At 53.5% G+C, this 16627-nt stretch overlaps 1 protein-coding gene across 2 annotated transcripts in view, besides 2 other annotated features; it reads right to left on the reverse strand.

The window, feature by feature from the left end:
• The window catches only part of UROC1 (urocanate hydratase 1), a 36608-nt gene extending 25619 nt beyond the window's left edge, over nucleotides 1–10989 (reverse strand). For both annotated transcript variants that reach the window (NM_144639.3, NM_001165974.2), the window contains exons 1-6: nucleotides 10810–10989; nucleotides 3880–4010; nucleotides 2801–2894; nucleotides 1632–1691; nucleotides 1183–1311; nucleotides 958–1019 (exon numbers count right to left, since the gene is read on the reverse strand). In NM_144639.3, coding sequence (NP_653240.1) covers nucleotides 958–1019; nucleotides 1183–1311; nucleotides 1632–1691; nucleotides 2801–2894; nucleotides 3880–4010; nucleotides 10810–10935 — 602 coding nt within the window. In that variant the 5' untranslated portion in view covers nucleotides 10936–10989. The remainder of the gene's footprint in view (nucleotides 1–957; nucleotides 1020–1182; nucleotides 1312–1631; nucleotides 1692–2800; nucleotides 2895–3879; nucleotides 4011–10809) is intronic.
• Nucleotides 3412–4334: an enhancer, noted in NCBI's record as "H3K4me1 hESC enhancer chr3:126229039-126229961 (GRCh37/hg19 assembly coordinates)". NCBI's record gives its function as "activates a minimal SCP1, AML or CMV promoter by ChIP-STARR-seq in primed H9 embryonic stem cells {active_cell/tissue: H9 hESC(primed)}" and the evidence as "EXISTENCE:reporter gene assay evidence [ECO:0000049][PMID:30033119]".
• Nucleotides 13729–13928: a silencer, noted in NCBI's record as "fragment chr3:126239356-126239555 (GRCh37/hg19 assembly coordinates)". NCBI's record gives its function as "represses an EF-1alpha promoter that drives an FKBP-Casp9 reporter gene in an ReSE screen in phorbol 12-myristate 13-acetate-treated (for megakaryocytic differentiation) K562 erythroleukemia cells {active_cell/tissue: K562(+PMA)}" and the evidence as "EXISTENCE:reporter gene assay evidence [ECO:0000049][PMID:32094911]".

The following is a 16627-nucleotide window of genomic DNA, read 5'->3' on the forward strand; positions in this document are numbered from 1 at the left end:
ATACTTTGCATTGCCGGCCACCGTGGCTCATGCCTGTAATCCCAACACTTTGGAAGGCAGAGGTGGGCGGATCAACTGAGGTCAGCGGTTCGAGACCAGCCTGGCCAACATGGTGAAACCCCATCTCTACTAAAAATACAAAAAACTAGCTGGCCGTGGTAGTACATGCCTGTAATCCCAGCTACTTGGGAGGCTGAGGCAGGAGAATCACTTGAACCTAGGAGGTGGAGGTTGCAGTGAGCCGAGATCACACCATTGCACTCCAGCCTGGGCAACAAGAGCAAAACTCCATCTCAAAAAGGAAAGAAAAAGAAATAGTTTGCATTACCTCTATAACAAATGAAAAGCTTTCATTCCCTGAGAGGGGCTGTGCGAGACCTCTCTGGGGCACTGGCCGCATTCTGTGCCTAATGGTTTTGGTTGCACAGATGCACACTTTGTCAGAACCCAAAATGTGGTGCATGTAAGATGTGTGCATCTTATTACATGCAAGTTTCACCTCAAAAGAAAAAAAACATAAACAAACGTTGAATTCCCGTCAGTAATATTTTCAATTGACTGTGAGATGCATAAAAAAAAAAAAAAACAAGTTGAATGGATGGATAGGCAGAGGGACAGATAGCCACATGATAAAGTGAGTATGGTAAGTAGCACATTCGTCACAGAAATTCGGTGGTATTCACTGTAAATTCGGTCAATTTTCGCATGTTTGAAATTGTTCATAATAAAATGTGGAAAAAGGCAGGATCTAAATTTGTAGGTTCTCTTGCATTCAAGAATATAAAATTTGTAAGCATATACATAAAACTACTAGGGAATATGTAAAAATAAAATTAATTATGCTACAGTTCTGTGACTATGTCTTTCAAAACTTGTATTTAATATCACCACTTTGCTTTATAATGACCCATGGCTAACGGGGAAACACGGTGTAAACAGACTGAAATAGTGACTTACATTGTAACCCCCAAGGCAAAGAGCTTCTCATACTCCGTCCGGGAGGAGTAGTTGGGAATGACCTGGAGAAGAGGATGGGGGCAGACAGAGGGGCTGAGGGCTTGGAGGGCGAGCACAGAGCCCTGGGGATGATGCACAGCGTTGGGGCACTGGGCTTTCTTTCCAGCGTCTGCACCCTCTCTTTGGAGCCCTGGGCAGGTGCTGTGCCACCTGCTGGGGACCCACCATCCCATTGGTGATGACGAGCCGTGGGGCACTGCGGCTGCTGGGAAAGAGGCCAAGTGGGTGCCCACTGTACATGACCAAAGTCTGCTCCTCTGTCATCTTCGACAAGTAGAACATGGTCAGCCAGAACTGGGGGAAGAGCAGAGCGTGGGGATTCTGTCAACAGAAGCAGCACCCCACACCCAGCCCCACACCACCGTCCACGCCTGGACAGCTCCCACAGGCCCCCAGGTCTCCATTCCACTCCAGTGGCCCTGGTGCCTCCCTCAACACCACCTCGCCCATTCCTATAACCTGAAATTTCCCCACACAATCTCCAATGCTGGAGCCTCAGGCACCAGGGAGGCAGAGGCCTGCATCCTGAGCTGTGGGTTTGTAAGCTCCTAGGCCAGAGGACCAGACTAGAGGAAAGGCCAGGGGTGGGGACGAGGCCACACGGTGTGCAGTACCTGAGCCCAGTTGCTGAACACCTGCCCATTTCCTCCATAGGTCACCAGCTCCTGGGGAAACTGAGGAAGACACGGGGTCATCTGAGATGAGGGCCTGGGAAGGGCCTATGGAGTTGCAGACAGGGAGAGAAAGGGCCCCCATCCCCTGGGGGCCCAATGGGACAAGGAGAGAAGCCAGAAGGGTGAGGCCCAGGGACGGACACATCTGCAAGAACACCGGCCCCAGCTGCAACTGGAGCAAGGGTTCAGCTTGGGGTCAGGGGCAGATCTGGGTCTGGGGTCACTCTGGGAACTCAGCCTGGGGTCAAAGGCAGGGTTGATCTGTGACCAGGGTCTGGGGCCAGGGCCAGGGTTTAGGGCGTTTCCACCTACTAGGCGAAGTGGTCACATTCTGGCAACATATCACCCCCAAGGAATGCAGGGACACACCCCAGAGGCATTCCATTCTCAAATATGGGCAGCTGCTCTATAGACTGGCTCAGGGTGCCCAAGACAGGCACATGGGGCCAGATCCATGCTACCCAATATGGTGGCCACCAGTCATGAGTGGCTTTTCAGCTCTGCTCCTTGCATAGATACACCCCTGATTTCAAAGGCTCAGGATGAAAAACAATGTAAAATATCTCATTAATAATGTTTATATAGATTACATGTTAAAATAATAATATTTTGGATCTGGGCATGGTGGCGGGTGCCTGTAGTCCCAGCTACCCGGGAGGCTGAGGTGGGAGGATCACTTGAGCCCCGGAGGTTGAGGTTGCAGTGAGCCAAGATCAAGCCACTATACTCCAGCCTGGGCCACAGAGTGAGACCCTGTCTCTCTAAAAAAAAAAAAAAAAGTAAAAAAATAATATTTTTGATATATCAGGATGAATAAAATATAGTGTAAATTTGTTTATTTTTACTTTTTCATATGGCTGCTAGAATATTTAAAATTGGACGTGTGTCCACTGCAGCCACAGTGACTTCCTGGTTTTGAGGCTGTACTATAGACACGGATGCAAACACTGGGGGAAGCCGAGGGAAGGGCCAGGGACCTCTCTTACTAGCTTTGCAACTTTCTGTGAATCTATAATTATCTCAAAATTAAGAGCTTAAAAGCATGACACGTGTGTCTCGTGTTCTGTTTCTGCTGGACAGTGCTGGGCCTCGGTTTCCCTGGCTATTACCTGGGCCACGGCAGGATCCAGGTTGTTCATAATCATGTGCATGATGGCGGCAGCCACTTTCGTCTGGCAGGGGTACTGCTCAATCGGGTAGGCCCTGCAAGGGAAAGCCCAACCACCAGGCTGCCCTTCCCGCCAAAGCACAGCATCTAGCCTGGCCCCGCCCAGCCCCTGGCCGCTCAGGCAAGGATAGCCGGACACGGGGCCTGCAGAACTAGCTAGGAACGTACAGTGGGGGCTCCAGAGCCACTAGGGCTGAGGGAGGTGGCGTTCAGGCCCCAACCCACCCTGCTCTCCCTCCCCACTTGGCACACTCCACCTGGGAGACAGCTGCTGGCAAAGCAGAACTGATGGCTGCTCTCCAGAAGCCTCTCCGTCTGGGTAAGCAGAGTTTATTCATTTGTTCTTTCATTCATTCAACAAACACTTTTGGGCACCAATTCTCCAGCAGGTGCCAGGCCCGGAGGTACTGGCTGGAGTGAGGAACGTGGCTCCTACTTTAAAGGGAACAACCCTGGGATGACTCAAGGCAAGCCTGGGCCGCTGGCACCTTCAAGAACAATGAACTGCAGAAACGCAGACTCGAAGCTCCACCCCAGAACTGCTGGGTCTGAAACTGGGGTGAAGCCTGGCAGCCCATGTTCCCACAAGGCCTCCAGGGGTGCTGTGCACACTGTGGTTTGAGACCCTTATCGAGATCGTGAGGTATTTGAAGTCACTGCCAGAGCTCCCCAAAGCTCTCCCTGCCCTCTGGCAGAAAAACAAGCCATGGTTTTTAAAAGGGGTTTTGTATACAATTTGTCTCCAGAATTGCACAGGACTGGCTGCTCAGGACAGATGGGCCGGGCCTGAGAGACCTGAGAAGCTGCCCCTATCTTCTGGCAGGCTCAGGGCGGCAGCCAGCGCTGGGCTCCGGCTCCCGAGGCGACGACACAGAATCTTCCCTCCCCTGCCTCCTGGTCTGGACAGACTGGGTTTCCCCCTCACTGCCGACTCCCTCCTTGTTCCTGGCCCCCAGCACAGTCCCTTGCGGGAGCTGCCTGCCCCTCGGGTCCCTTTGAAGCTGTACCCACAAGGCTGACCTCATTTCAATGTCGGGGCAAAACCGGTACATGTAGATGTGTCCGTACAGTTGCAGCTCCTGGGCAAACTCTGGGGCCAGCAGCTCCTGGACATCCGGGGGGAAGTAGCGCAGGGCGTTCCTCAGCGCCAGCTGGGGTAGGAGAGCGGAGAGGCAGTCGGGGCTGGGACTCCAGGCCCGGTGTTCTGAGGCCCCGCGATGGGCCATCCTCCTCCCAAATGGATTTGTCTCTGCTCCACTCAGAAGCCTGTTGCCCACCCAGAGACTGTTCTCACCCCAGGCCCATCTACAGTGTCACCTCCTGCAGAAAGCCTTCCCTGATCGCCCCCTCCTGCCCCTTTCATGAAGGCAGACTGATCCCTCTCTCTTCTTGCTTACGGTGAACCATCTCCTGTTCTGGGGATGGCGCTGCTTACCCCCAGGCAGGCACCAGAGAGGGGCCTGCCTGAGGCTTGTGGCTATGGTGTAGAATGCAGAAGCTCCAGGGTGGAAAGTAGACCCCACATGGCCTTAAGTACCCTGTGCAAGTGCAAGCACATATAAGAAAAAGCTGTCAAAAGCAACATATATTTTACACACACACATGAACTCTTTTGATCGTGAGCCATAGGAAGCAATTCCTATGGCTACCCAGATACATACACCCATACTCCATGCAACAAGACAACCTTCCCACGTGGGTTCTAATACATCCATCCTCTTCTAACTCCTTTCATTTCACTTTCAAGTCAATACTGCTGCACCTCCTAAACTGATTTCACAGCCTGCTGGTTAGGTGGTAGCTGCAGCCTGACACCACTGTCCTCACTATTCTAAAGGCAGTGCCAGCCGCCGCCTCGGGGCTTGACGGGACATTTTACTCACGTGCTAGACAAGGAGGACTTCTTTCATAATCAGTTGTGTCAAATGCATTAGAAACATTGTTCAGATAATTACATAGCTCAAAAAGTACAACAAAGGTTCTGTGAAAATTAGTGAATTTAAAATCATGTCAGTTGATGGAAATGACTCGGCCATTCTTAAAGGTGAAATGTGTAAGAAGCTCAATCTGTTCTGAAATGAAGCACAAACTTGTGCCCTAAGCAAAGGAGATTCTGGCAATTTTTCCAAATCCGAAATACAGCCCCAAAGCTCTGTCTGCCACATTTTCCCCTTGTATAAAATTTCCATTTGCTAACCATTGAATTTTTCTTTATTGCTGAAATTCAGTAATTTAGCCTAGATATGTCTTCATGCTGATTATTCTATATCAAGGGTTTTTTTTCTTTCCAGGATAAACTGTCTGTTTATCTGCAATTTCATGTTTTTATTTAGTTCATGAAAGTTGTCTTCTATTTTTGTTTAATACTTCATCCTCTGTATCTAGAGTTACCTAACAGGCATGCAATAAATATTCTTTTAAGTGGGGAAGAAAGGCTCACTCTCACTGGCCTGGACTTAATCCTCCATGCCTTGGACTGGAGGCAGCTCTCCACATTAAAACAAGACGATGGGGCTCACACAGGTCGTGTGACCTGCCAAGGCCCTGCAACAGGACTGTGGGTGGCCTGGAGGGAGGCCCAGTGCCTCCACCCACCCTGGCAACCTCAGCAGAGGAGGAGTTTCAGGCTGAGCAGTGCCCACTGTTCCCAGGAAGGGCTGTGTGGTGTGATGGGGCCCACAGCTTCCTGATGACCACGGAACAATGGGCACTGCGGCACTGCGGCACTTCATCCAGCTCCCTCCAGAAGGAGCACGGCGCTCCCAGGATTTTTATATGTTTATGCTACGAAAAATATAAGGCTAGGCGTGGTGGCTAATGCCTGTAATCCCAGCACTTTGGGAGACCAAGGTAGGAGGATCACTTGAGGCCAGGAGTTCCAGACCAGCCTGGGTAACATAGGGAGACCCCCATCTTTACGAAAAATAAAAAATTGCCAGGCATGGTGCATATGCCTGTGGTCCCAGCTACTCGGGAGGCTGAGGTAGGAAGATTGCTTGAGCCCAGGTGTTTGAGGTTACAGTGACCTATGATCACGTTGCTGCACTCCAGCTTGGACAAAACTAGACCCTGTCTCTAAAATGTATACATATGTATATATATAATGAACTTTTCAAACATGTAAACATAAACCAGGATAGTCTTGTATGTAATAGTTGTGCCAAAAAATGAGGCTTACAAGACACACTAAGAAAGCAAAGAGCAAGCATGATTCAACATCACTACACTTGCACTATTTCTTGATCGCAGTCCAGTAAAACCCACTTCAGATTTCTGATCTCTGGAACTGCAGGAGAATAAATATGTGTTGTTTTAAGCCACTACACTTGTGGCAATTTATTACAGCAGACATGGGAAGCTAATACAGGCAGTAACAGAACTCTGCCTCGGGCATCAGGGCACCTGTGCCAGGCGCACGCCTGTCCTGCATGGTGGCTGAGCACCGAAATGAAGGGATGCCAGCCTGCAACGTTGTTCAGCCCACAGAGCAGGGTGTGTGTGTGTGTGTGTGTGTGTGTGTGTGTGTTCAGCCTAGGACTTACTTTCATTCTAACCTGGCAGTCAGCTTGTGGGGCAGTAGCTCACTTTTAAACCTCACCCATCTGAAAGTTTCTGACTGTCACTATTTCTGCCAGAAACCATGGCCACTATCCAAATGGCTTGGCTTCATTTGAGTCACTCCTGTTCCTGCACCCTGCTAGTGCAGCCTTCAGCAGGGTCCCCACCAGCTCTAGGCCGAGGATACGTTGACAGCCAGGAGCTGCAGCCAGGCTTCCTTCTCCACATCTGTGCACACTGCCTCCTGGGTGCGGACAGCGCTCTGGGTTGCATGGGCTGCAGTGGCTCTGCGAGGCTGCTGTGGCACAGGCCTGCCACATGGCACATGCACATTGCCGCTCTCTGACTGCCCTTTCCCCATCTGTAAAGTGGGCATAATAACAGTACCCACCTCGGAGGACTGCCTTGGAGACTGAATGAATTGAGGTACTTAGAACAGCCCCTGGCACACCTAAGTGTGTGTGAGTGCCCAGCTGTCAAAACTGTCATCTCCCACACTCGTGGGCCTCCATGCTGCCCATTCTTTCTTCCAGCTGGGCCTCTGCCCACCCCACCCCTCTGGGACCTCCATAGAAGCCTCTATACTCTGTGGGGGGCATAGTTAAGCAGTAGGTATGCCCCTATTCAGAAACTTCCATGGGCTCCCTATTACCCATTTCATAAGGCCATGCTGTTCCTGGCATTTAGAGTCCTCCATCAGCCGGCTGGGTCTGGCTCTCCAAGCTCAATACCAAGCCCCTGCCTGCACAGAGCCTCCTTCACCCTGACACACCTCAGACAGCTCCGTCTCCACATCTGTGCACACTGCCTCCCCTTGTCTCCAAATGGCCTTTCTTCTTTCCCAGGCTAGGAACTTTGCCTAAGCTGCTATAGCCACCTCTTCCAAGAAGTCCTGTCAAGTTTCTCCTGCTGGCTGAAATCTTATGGGATGTTAGTTAGGGCTCCTAGTACAACTCTTATTCATTCTGCAAACATCTGCTGCTGTCACTGGAGACCTGGAAATGAACCCTGTGGAGCTCTGCCCCTCAAGAAGTTCAGGAGGGGAGTACATTGGTAGTGATGGGGACACAGACGCTGGCCATCTTCGGATCTGCTGTTGGATGCCTGGCACAGGCGCTGTGGGTGGGGTCGATTTGGGGAAAAGGTCACCAGGAGAAACTGCACCTGGGGGTAGGTACTGAGGACATTTTTAACAGGGGAACTGCTCCAGTCGTGTGACTGAAGTTTCCCTGTGCATGGTGAGAGCTGTGTCGGGCGCATGCTGAGAGTGTCCTGATTAACTTGGCAAAGAAAGGCCCCACTCCAGTCACAGAGCTCCGTTAAAGACGAGCAAAGAATGACACGCACGTTAGTTCATCCAAATAATGAAACACTATGCAGCCATTCAAAGACAGGGCCCTCTAAATGCACCACGAAGGAACAATCTGAAAAAACCTAACGTGTATAGATGCTTCTGCTTGTATTTTTAAGAGGGTTCACAGACGTCTTCTGCACTGCATAGATGCATAGAATGTGTTTCTGAAATTCCTGAGTAGTTTTCAGTAAAGAAAAAGTAGGAGGAAAGTCTATATTTCCTCCTACTTTATTTCATTTGGTCTTCTCCACAACCCCCTGGTGTCATTGTTTTCATCTTCAGCTTACAAATGCCAAAAAATAAGGCCCCGGTGACTTCAGAAGGTGAACTGGGGAATTTACACTTTTATACATTCGATTTCTTATCACATAAAATTGTCTTCAAATACATATGTTAAAGATCAACGAAACACATTTAATAGAAAATAGAAGTCAAGCAGCAGGACTCAGGGAGCCGCCCGTAGCCCTCAGAACTGCACCCGCTCCTACTCCAAGGGTGTCCTGACATTCAAGCAAAGGACATAACCCAGCAAAGCCCAGGTGGCCACTCCTCCACCTGGAGCCACCTTCTCCCAACACAAGACACCCCGGGAGCTGATCACAGCCACAGGGAGCTGATCACAGCCACAGGGCGCCGCAGGGGATGTGCAGGCCGCAGGGCCCTCCCTGAGCTCCGGGGTGAAGTTTGAGGCATTGGCGCCCAGCAGGGAGGTGATCAAAGGGAGGAAACATTAACAACACCTGGACAACTGGGAGATGGGCCAAGGGGAGCAAAGGGGCAGGACCACCTGCTTGCAATCTGCCCCTGAGTACCCACCACCTACCCGCCCCCGTCCAGGACCCACCACTTACCAGCCTCCCCAGCACCCAACACCTACCCTCCCCTGCCCCCAGTGCCCACCACCTACCCTCTCCCTGTCTCCCAGCACCTACCACCTACCCCTTCCACTCCCCAGTACCCACCACCTACCCTCCTCCCATCTGCCCAGCACCCACCACCTACCCCCTTCCACTCCCCAGCACCCACCACCTACCCTCCTCCCATCTGCCCAGCACCCACCACCTACCATCCCCCAACCCCCAGCACCCACCACCTACCCTCCCCCTAACCCCCAGCACCCACCACTTACCCTCCCCCAACCCCCAGCACCCACCACCTACCCTCCCCCTCATCTGCCCAGCACCCACCACCTACCCTCTCCCCAACCCCCAGCACCCACCACTTACCCTCCCCCAACCCCCAGCACCCACCACCTACCCTCCCCCTCATCTGCCCAGCACCCACCACCTACCCTCTCCCCAACCCCCAGTGCCCACCACCTACCCTCCCCCCACCCCCAGCACCCAACACTTACCCTCCCCCACCCCCAACACCCACCACCTACCCTCCCTTGTCCCCCAGCACCTGACACCTACCCTCTCCGCCCCCCAATGTCCACCACCTACCCTCACTGTCTCCAAGTGCCTGTCATCTACCCTCCTCCTGTCCCCCAGCGCCTACCACCTACCCACCCCCTCCTCACCCCAGCACCCACCACCTATCCTCCCAACTCCCAGCACCCACCACCTACTGTCCCCTGCCCCCCAGCGCCCACCACCTACCCACCCCCTCCTCACCCCAGCACCCACCACCTATCCTCCCAACTCCCAGCACCCACCACCTACTGTCCCCTGCCCCCCAGCGCCCACCACCTACCCACCCCCTCATCACCCCAGCACCCACCACCTAATGTCCCCCACCCCCCAGTGCCCACCACCTACCCATCCCCTTGTCACCCCAGCACCCACCACCTACCTTCCCCCTCGTCCCCCAGCACCCACCAACTAGCCTCCTCCCACCCCCAGCGCCCACCACCTACCCTCACCCTCATCACCCCAGCACCCACCACCTACCCTCCCCCTCATCACCCAGCACCCACCACCTACCATCCCCCCACCCCAGAACTCACCACCTACCCTCCCACCCCCCAGTGCCCACCACCTACCCTCCCCCCTCCCCCCAGTGCCCACTACCTACTCTACCTTGCTGGCCCCTCCCCCATTTCCCTTTCCCTCCAGCACCCGCTCCACCTGCCCCCAGTGCCCCACTCCCACAAGGACCCCCAGCATCCTCCTAGCCCCCCAACTCCCCTCCACCCCCACACCCACCAACCTGCTTCCCCTTTCTCCCTTCCCCAGCGCCAGCTCTGCCCTGAGTGACCCCTACTGTCCCCACTGTGTCCTGTTAGGCCTCTGTGGGTGGCTCCAGAAAAGTCCAGTGGGCTCCGGTGCAAAGGGCAGCCATCTTTACCTGGGGAGGTAGGATTCCTCTTTTAATCTTTATGCTTGTTTGCAGTTTCCACTTCTCTACTGTTTCTGAAAATCTTGAGTAGTTTCCAGTAAAAAGTAGGAGGAAAGTCTATATAACCGTGTCACCTACTTTATTTCATTACTCTTCTCCACAACCCCCTGGTGTCACCATTTTCATCTCAAGCTGACAAATGACAAAAGGGAGGTTCCCAGACAGGGCACCACTGGCAAGCGTGCACCATCCCTGGACTGCTTTGCTGTTAGATGAGGGGATACTGGCCTCAGCCCATCTTTCCCTGGCAACTGCCTGCCAGCTACAGGGTTCAGCCATGCAGCCGCACGTTCTCCAGAGATTTGCGGGAGGGACATTTGCAAATGAAAATAAGAGCTGACCTGTGTGCAAACGTTCTGAGTGTTGGGGTGGACGCGGCGCTTGGTGTGGGACACTTCACACCCACCCAAGGCCTCCTCCCACTGGAGGTGGCCAAAGTGCCACCAGTGACCGGCTGCTGACCTTGAGCCTCAGGGTCCTCATCTGTAAACAGGCACGGCGATCCTGCACCCAAGGGCGGCTGCATCCAAGAGACAGAGTCCACTGTGCATTGCACCCGCACAGGCTGGAGCCCCTGGAGTCCAGGGTGGGCGGCTGAGCAGCTCCCACTAAGAGGGCAGGAAGCCTGGGTGCTCACTATGGACCACCTGGAGGATGCCTAGAGGCCAAGGCCTCGGGAGCACGGGCCCACTGCTTACCTGTTTCTCCACAGGGCTGAGGCTGGGGGTCCTGACAGGGGCATGGGGCACCCCAGCCTGGCGTCCCCGGTTCTCTGGGAGGGGCCGCAGGGGCAGGCCAGAGCACAGCGCCTGGAGGCTAGACATGTGTGACTGAGATGGAGGCAGAGGCCAGCACTGTGGGGAGGCCAGGAAGAGACTGGGCAGATAGGGCAGGGACCTCTAGCCCCAGGGCCACCTCCTCCAGCCTCTCATTGGGCGCCTGGCCTGTGCAGGGAGCCATGTGCAGGTCGGAGGGTCACTGGCCTCAGGTAGGGCACTTGCAGCGCTGACCTGGGGAGGACATTGCTCTGCGGGAGGGCAGGCTTCACAGTGGGGAGGGGGGCTGGGCTCACTTCCCCTTCCAGGAGGGCTGTGCTGTCCGGGACAGCTTTGGGGGTGGGTGGGGCTCTAATGCTGGGGTGTGCTGTGGCAGCCCTCTGGTGCACCACACCAAACATTCGATGTGGGGATCTGCATCTTGATGATGAGGAGATGGGAAGCCATGTGACACTGAACCGGACACAGAGTGTAGAGCCCCTCCTCCTGCTACCTCCTGCTGGGGGGTGGGGTGACAGGTGGAGCGGGAGCACCCAGCAGCAGGTGTGCCCTCCTTGGCTCCCCACTGGAGGGCTGGGTGACAGGTGCAGTGGGGGCCCTCAGTGGCAAGTGTGCTCTCTTCAGCTCCCGCTGGGGGGCACACCACTCTACCCCCTCCCAAAGCTCTTTTTGAAGGACCTGCCTGAGGGATGACCCTCATTCCCAAATCTGTTAACAACTCTGCCAGAAAGCACTCTTCATGAGCCCTATGCTATGGATGGAGAAACCAAGGCCCGGGTCTCCCTCACACAGCCAAGAAGTGGCCGAAGCTGAATTCCAGCAGTCCGGGGGAAGCAACACACCTGGGTGTACCCAGTGCGAGCCTGACCAGCCCTGTGGCCTTTGGCCATGTCCTGTCTACACAAGTGGGTGGCGATGGACAGCTCAGCTGCAAGGCGGTGGAGTGCCGTTAGGCAAGCCCCAGTGCAGGGCCCGCACGTGGAAGCCCAGCTGCCTTCTGAGTGCTTGCTCCTCTGAGAGCATCCTGTGGGTCAGCCCTGAGGGGTTCGTTGCCCCCATTTTAAGGATGAAGAAACAGGTGGAGAGAGGGATGGGACTTGCCCAGGGTTACACAGCCAGTCATGGGGGGAGCTGAGATTGGAGCCCTGAGGACCCAGAGGTCTGGCTCTAGCACCCTCCCATCCACGCTGGCCCTTTTGCAGCACAGGGAGGGCGCCCTTAATGGGGGTGATGTGAGACTGTGATAGAATAAGAAACAGGCTTTGATCTCTTCCCTGTTCCTGCCACAAAGCTCCTGAGGCCCTGGTAGATGGAAACTCTAGGAGAATCTTTTGTTCTAACGTTTGATCTTTGACCCTGGTTCCTGACACAGAGCTCCTAAAGCTGTTGGAATTTCCTGGGTGACAGGAGCAGAGCTCTTTTGTTCTACCGAGGGGACTCTTGGCAGATCCCTGATATCCTCAGGATTGGGGCTGGTTGACAAGGGAACCAACCTGTGATTAGAGGGTTGGAACCTTCAGCAGCCTCCTGACTTTGGGGAGGAGAGAGAAGCTGAAGGCTGAGTTGATCACCAAAGGCCAATGATTTAGTCAGTTGTGTAGGTCATGAAGCCTCCCTAAAAACCCAAAAGGACAGGGTTCAGAAGAGCTTCCCAGCAGCTGAGCACAGGCAGATTCCTGGAGAGGGTCATGCCCAGAGAAGGCACAGAAGCTCTGTGCATCTTCCCCACACCTCATCCTGGGCATCTTGTCCATCTGGCTGTTCATCTATATTCTTCGTAATGTCCTTTATAAGAAACCAGTACACATCAATAATAAAGGGTTTCTCTGAGTTTTGTGAGCCACAGTAGCAAATTAAATGAACCCTGGAATCCCCAGTTTATAGCCAGACTGTGGTCAGAACCACAGTCCACAGACCACAACCTGTGCTTGCAGCATCTGAAGTTGGGGGCGATCTTGTGGGACTGAGCCCTCAACCTGTGGGATCTCATGCCATCCCCAGCAGGTGGTGTCAGAGTTGAGCTGACTGGGACACCTAGCTGGAGGAGACACCCAGCTGAAAAGCTGGCTGCTGGAAAAAGCCCACATGTACTTTGGTGACTGGGGCGTGTTGTGTTGTGTTGTGTGAATGAAGAAGGACAAGGTTTGTTCTCATACTGGGCCTGTGGCATCTCTGCTCCTCACCAGCCAGGGCCACCTGGGACAGAGCATGCAGAAAGGTGCTCAGGCTTAAGCATCCCACACTCAATCCTTCTTATGACAGGTGCTGTTGCAGGCCCTGGGAACAGAGTGCACAAGACAGAAGTTGTGCAGCCTGGACGCCAGCGGCCAGCACCTTCGGCTGTCTTCTCAAGGGTGTCTTCTGGTGACCCTGAGTGTCTTCTTCCCACTCAGAGGGCAGCTGGAAGGGATGGAGAATTAGCAGCCCCTCCCCACCTGCCCAGGGAACAGCCCCTAAGCACCCAGGTCCCTTGCCCCTCAGGGTGGGGAGATTGTACCTCGGTCAGTTGCTTCCCCTGCCCAGCTCACTATGCACTCCCCAACAGACAGACCCTTAACAAACTGCACCAAGACCTGGTCTCAGGGCCCACTGCACAGGACGCCCCACGTCTCATGGCTCAAGAGCAGCCAGAAATCCAGCAGGTTTTCTGAAATCTCCTGAGTTTTAAACATCAGCAACCAATTTGTGAAAAGGTGAACATTGTGCAGAAGTCGTGTGGATGGCGTCCATGTCACATCCCCACTGGGCTACTGCAGTGTGGTTCTGCAAGATCTTAGCACTGGGGGAAAGTGGGTAAAGGGGACATGGGATCTTTCTTCCTTACAACTGCACACAAATCTAGTGACCCCAGAATAGTTTAATTAAAAGCAAACAAACATTGCCTAACTATTTAAAAGCACAAAGATCTTGGCTGGACGCGGTGGCTCATGCCTGTAATCCCAGCATTTTGGGAGGCTGAGGCGGGAGGATAACCTGAGGTCAGGAGTGCAAGACCAGCTTGGGCAATATGGCAAAACCCCGTCTCTACTAAAAAGACAAAATTAGCCGGGCATGGTGGTGGGCACCTGTAATCTGGCTACTCGAGAGGCTGAGGCAGGAGAATTCCTTGTACCCAGGAGGCGGAGGTTGCAGTGAGCCGAGACTGTGCCACTTCACTCCAGTCTAGGCAAAAGATCAAAAAAAAAAAAAAAAAAAAAAAGAGAGAGAGAATGAAGATCTCACAGAAGTTAAATATGGCAGACTGCTAGTTTCAAACAACCCTGGCTACATCACTCTCTAGCTGTGTCCTTGGGTAAGTTACTGAGCCTCTCATTGCCTCAGTTTCCTCATCTGTAAAATGAAAGTCTATTATATACCTCATAGGATGCATCTGAGGATCACATGAGATAACACACATGAAGGGCTTAGAATAGTGCCTTGCACAGAATACGTGCCAGACAAGATGAAGTATTATTTTTCTAACGGTTTCCTCCATGAAAAAAAAAAAAGCATCATCTCTCACAGAGACAGCTCTGGCTCCTCTCCTGGCCTCCACCTCCTCCCTGCCTCCCACAGAGCAGCAGAGGTGCCATCTGTGATTCAACTGTTCTTCAGGGACGGCTTCCCTCTGTGCTTAGAAAAACCCACCCATGGGATCTGGACTCCCTGTCTGCCTCTCTGACTTCACCCATTCACTCTCGCCCACTCCAGAACCTCCCTGCTATTCCTGGGACAGGCGGTGGTGGTTCTAAAACATGCCCGCAAATTCCTGGGCACTGCTGGTGGGTGTGGCCCCACTCCTGAGTCTGGTCCAGCCTCAGCGATCTTTGGGTAACCAACAAAAGGCAGCCCCAGGCCAGGTCAGAAAATGGCCACACAGCCAGGCTCTGTGGGAGCAGCACACCGGGCCCCAGGCTGGAGGGTGCCCCGAGGATGTCTGGAGGCCAGAGGGTGGCCCAAGGAGACCCCCAGAATGGAGGCTGCCCCCAGGAGGACCCCAGGCCAGAGGGTGCCCCGAGGGCTGGAGGGTGCCCCAGGAGGCCCCCAGAATGAAGGGTGCCCTGAGGGGATCCTTGGATCGCTGCCCAGCAGAGCTTCCAGACGGACACCACCTGCCAGTGTGAGCCAGTGGGACACTGGGCCTGGGTGAGCCTCCCAGTGATGCAGTGCCAGCTGCCTTCTGACTGTGGCAGCCTGAGACTCCCATGAGCACTCAGCCAAGCCCATGCCCCAATTCCCAATACACAAAATTGTGAGCAAAATTTAAATGGTTGTCTTAAGCGGCCAAATTTTAGGGCAGTTTGTTACCTAGCAACAGCAACTGGAACATCACCTCAGGGCCTTTGCAATGGTACCTGCTGGCTTCTGCTCCCTGGAGTCACATCTCTGCTCCAATGCCACCTCCCCCAGGCCTGCCCCGGCACCCTCCTTGCACCGGACACACTTTTCATCCTGGTACCCGCTGTGTTTTCTTCACAGCAGCATTCACCGCTCTATCTCTCTATCCTGATTTTCCGTGCTTCCAATCTGTAATGGAAATGCTGTGAGGGCAGACACTGCATGGGTCTCACCCTCTCCACCCAGGCCTCAGCACGGAGTGGGTGTTCTGTATCTGTCGAATGAATGAATGAATGCGAGTCCCTGGGAGAGGGCGTCTTCGCAGGGAAGCTCCCTAGGCCCCGGGCGTCTAGCCAGGCATCTGCACCCTCCCACCCCAAGACCCAAGACCATCTCTTCCTTTCTCCAGGGACCCCATTTCCAGGGACATCTCCGGATGAAGGGCTGAGATGTTATTCCCAACTTTGGCCACCAGGTGGCAGCATATAAGGGCAAAGCGCGCTGAGGATTCCAGGCTGGCAGTGAGGCCAGGGAATGCCGGTCTGGGGAAATTTGGAAGGCACCTTTGGATGCGAGTTAGGTCCGGCAGGGAATGCAGATGACCTGGAATCCCTGGGTCCTGGGCCAGTCTGGGGGTGGGCTAGAGGTTCCCCAAGGCCAGAAAAGTCATGATAAGAAGCTTCTAGCTTACTGTGAGTCTGGACTCCCACCCCTGTCCTTTGAGAACATCATCACCATTTAAAGCTGTATCTCAAAACCAGCAGAACTATTATTTGCTTAATATTCTTCCTTAAATAGATCTTCCACAACTTAAATAAATATAGTAGGGAGAAATTTTTATTTCACCACTTTAACAGAAACCAGCCACTTGCCAGAAACAGGCAGTAACCATAAACAAATTAATTACTAATATCAAATACTTACCTGGCACTCACTGAGTGCCAGACACTGTTGCAAACATTTCCTGTATCTCATTTAATCTTCACAGCACTGAGGTTTAGGATTATCCCCCCGTACAGGAAAATGGGAAACAGAGAGGTGCAGTTAATTTCCTAATCTCCCACAGCAGTAAGCGGCACCAGGTGGGTTTGGAGTCACCACATTTTTCAAGAACAGTTTAACAACTGGAGCTTCGAGTGTGGAATAATAGACACTGGAGACTTGGAAGGGTAGGAGAGTGAGCGAGGTGGGAGGGATGAGGAATTACTTAATGGGTACAATGGACATTATTTAGGTGATGGTTACACGGAAAGCCCAGACCTCACCACTGCATATCTCCATGTAACAAACCTGCACTTGTGTCCCTTACATTTATACAAAAAACTCCAAAAAAAACCTACAGTGTAATGTAGTACCCTATCCCATGCACTCACACTGCTAAATGTTGTTTCCAACGCACTCATCCGCGCACCCAGTGCCAGCT

Source organism: Homo sapiens, chromosome 3 (genome assembly GCF_000001405.40).
Source record: "Homo sapiens chromosome 3, GRCh38.p14 Primary Assembly".
In the NCBI taxonomy this organism is placed as follows: Eukaryota; Metazoa; Chordata; class Mammalia; order Primates; family Hominidae; genus Homo; species Homo sapiens.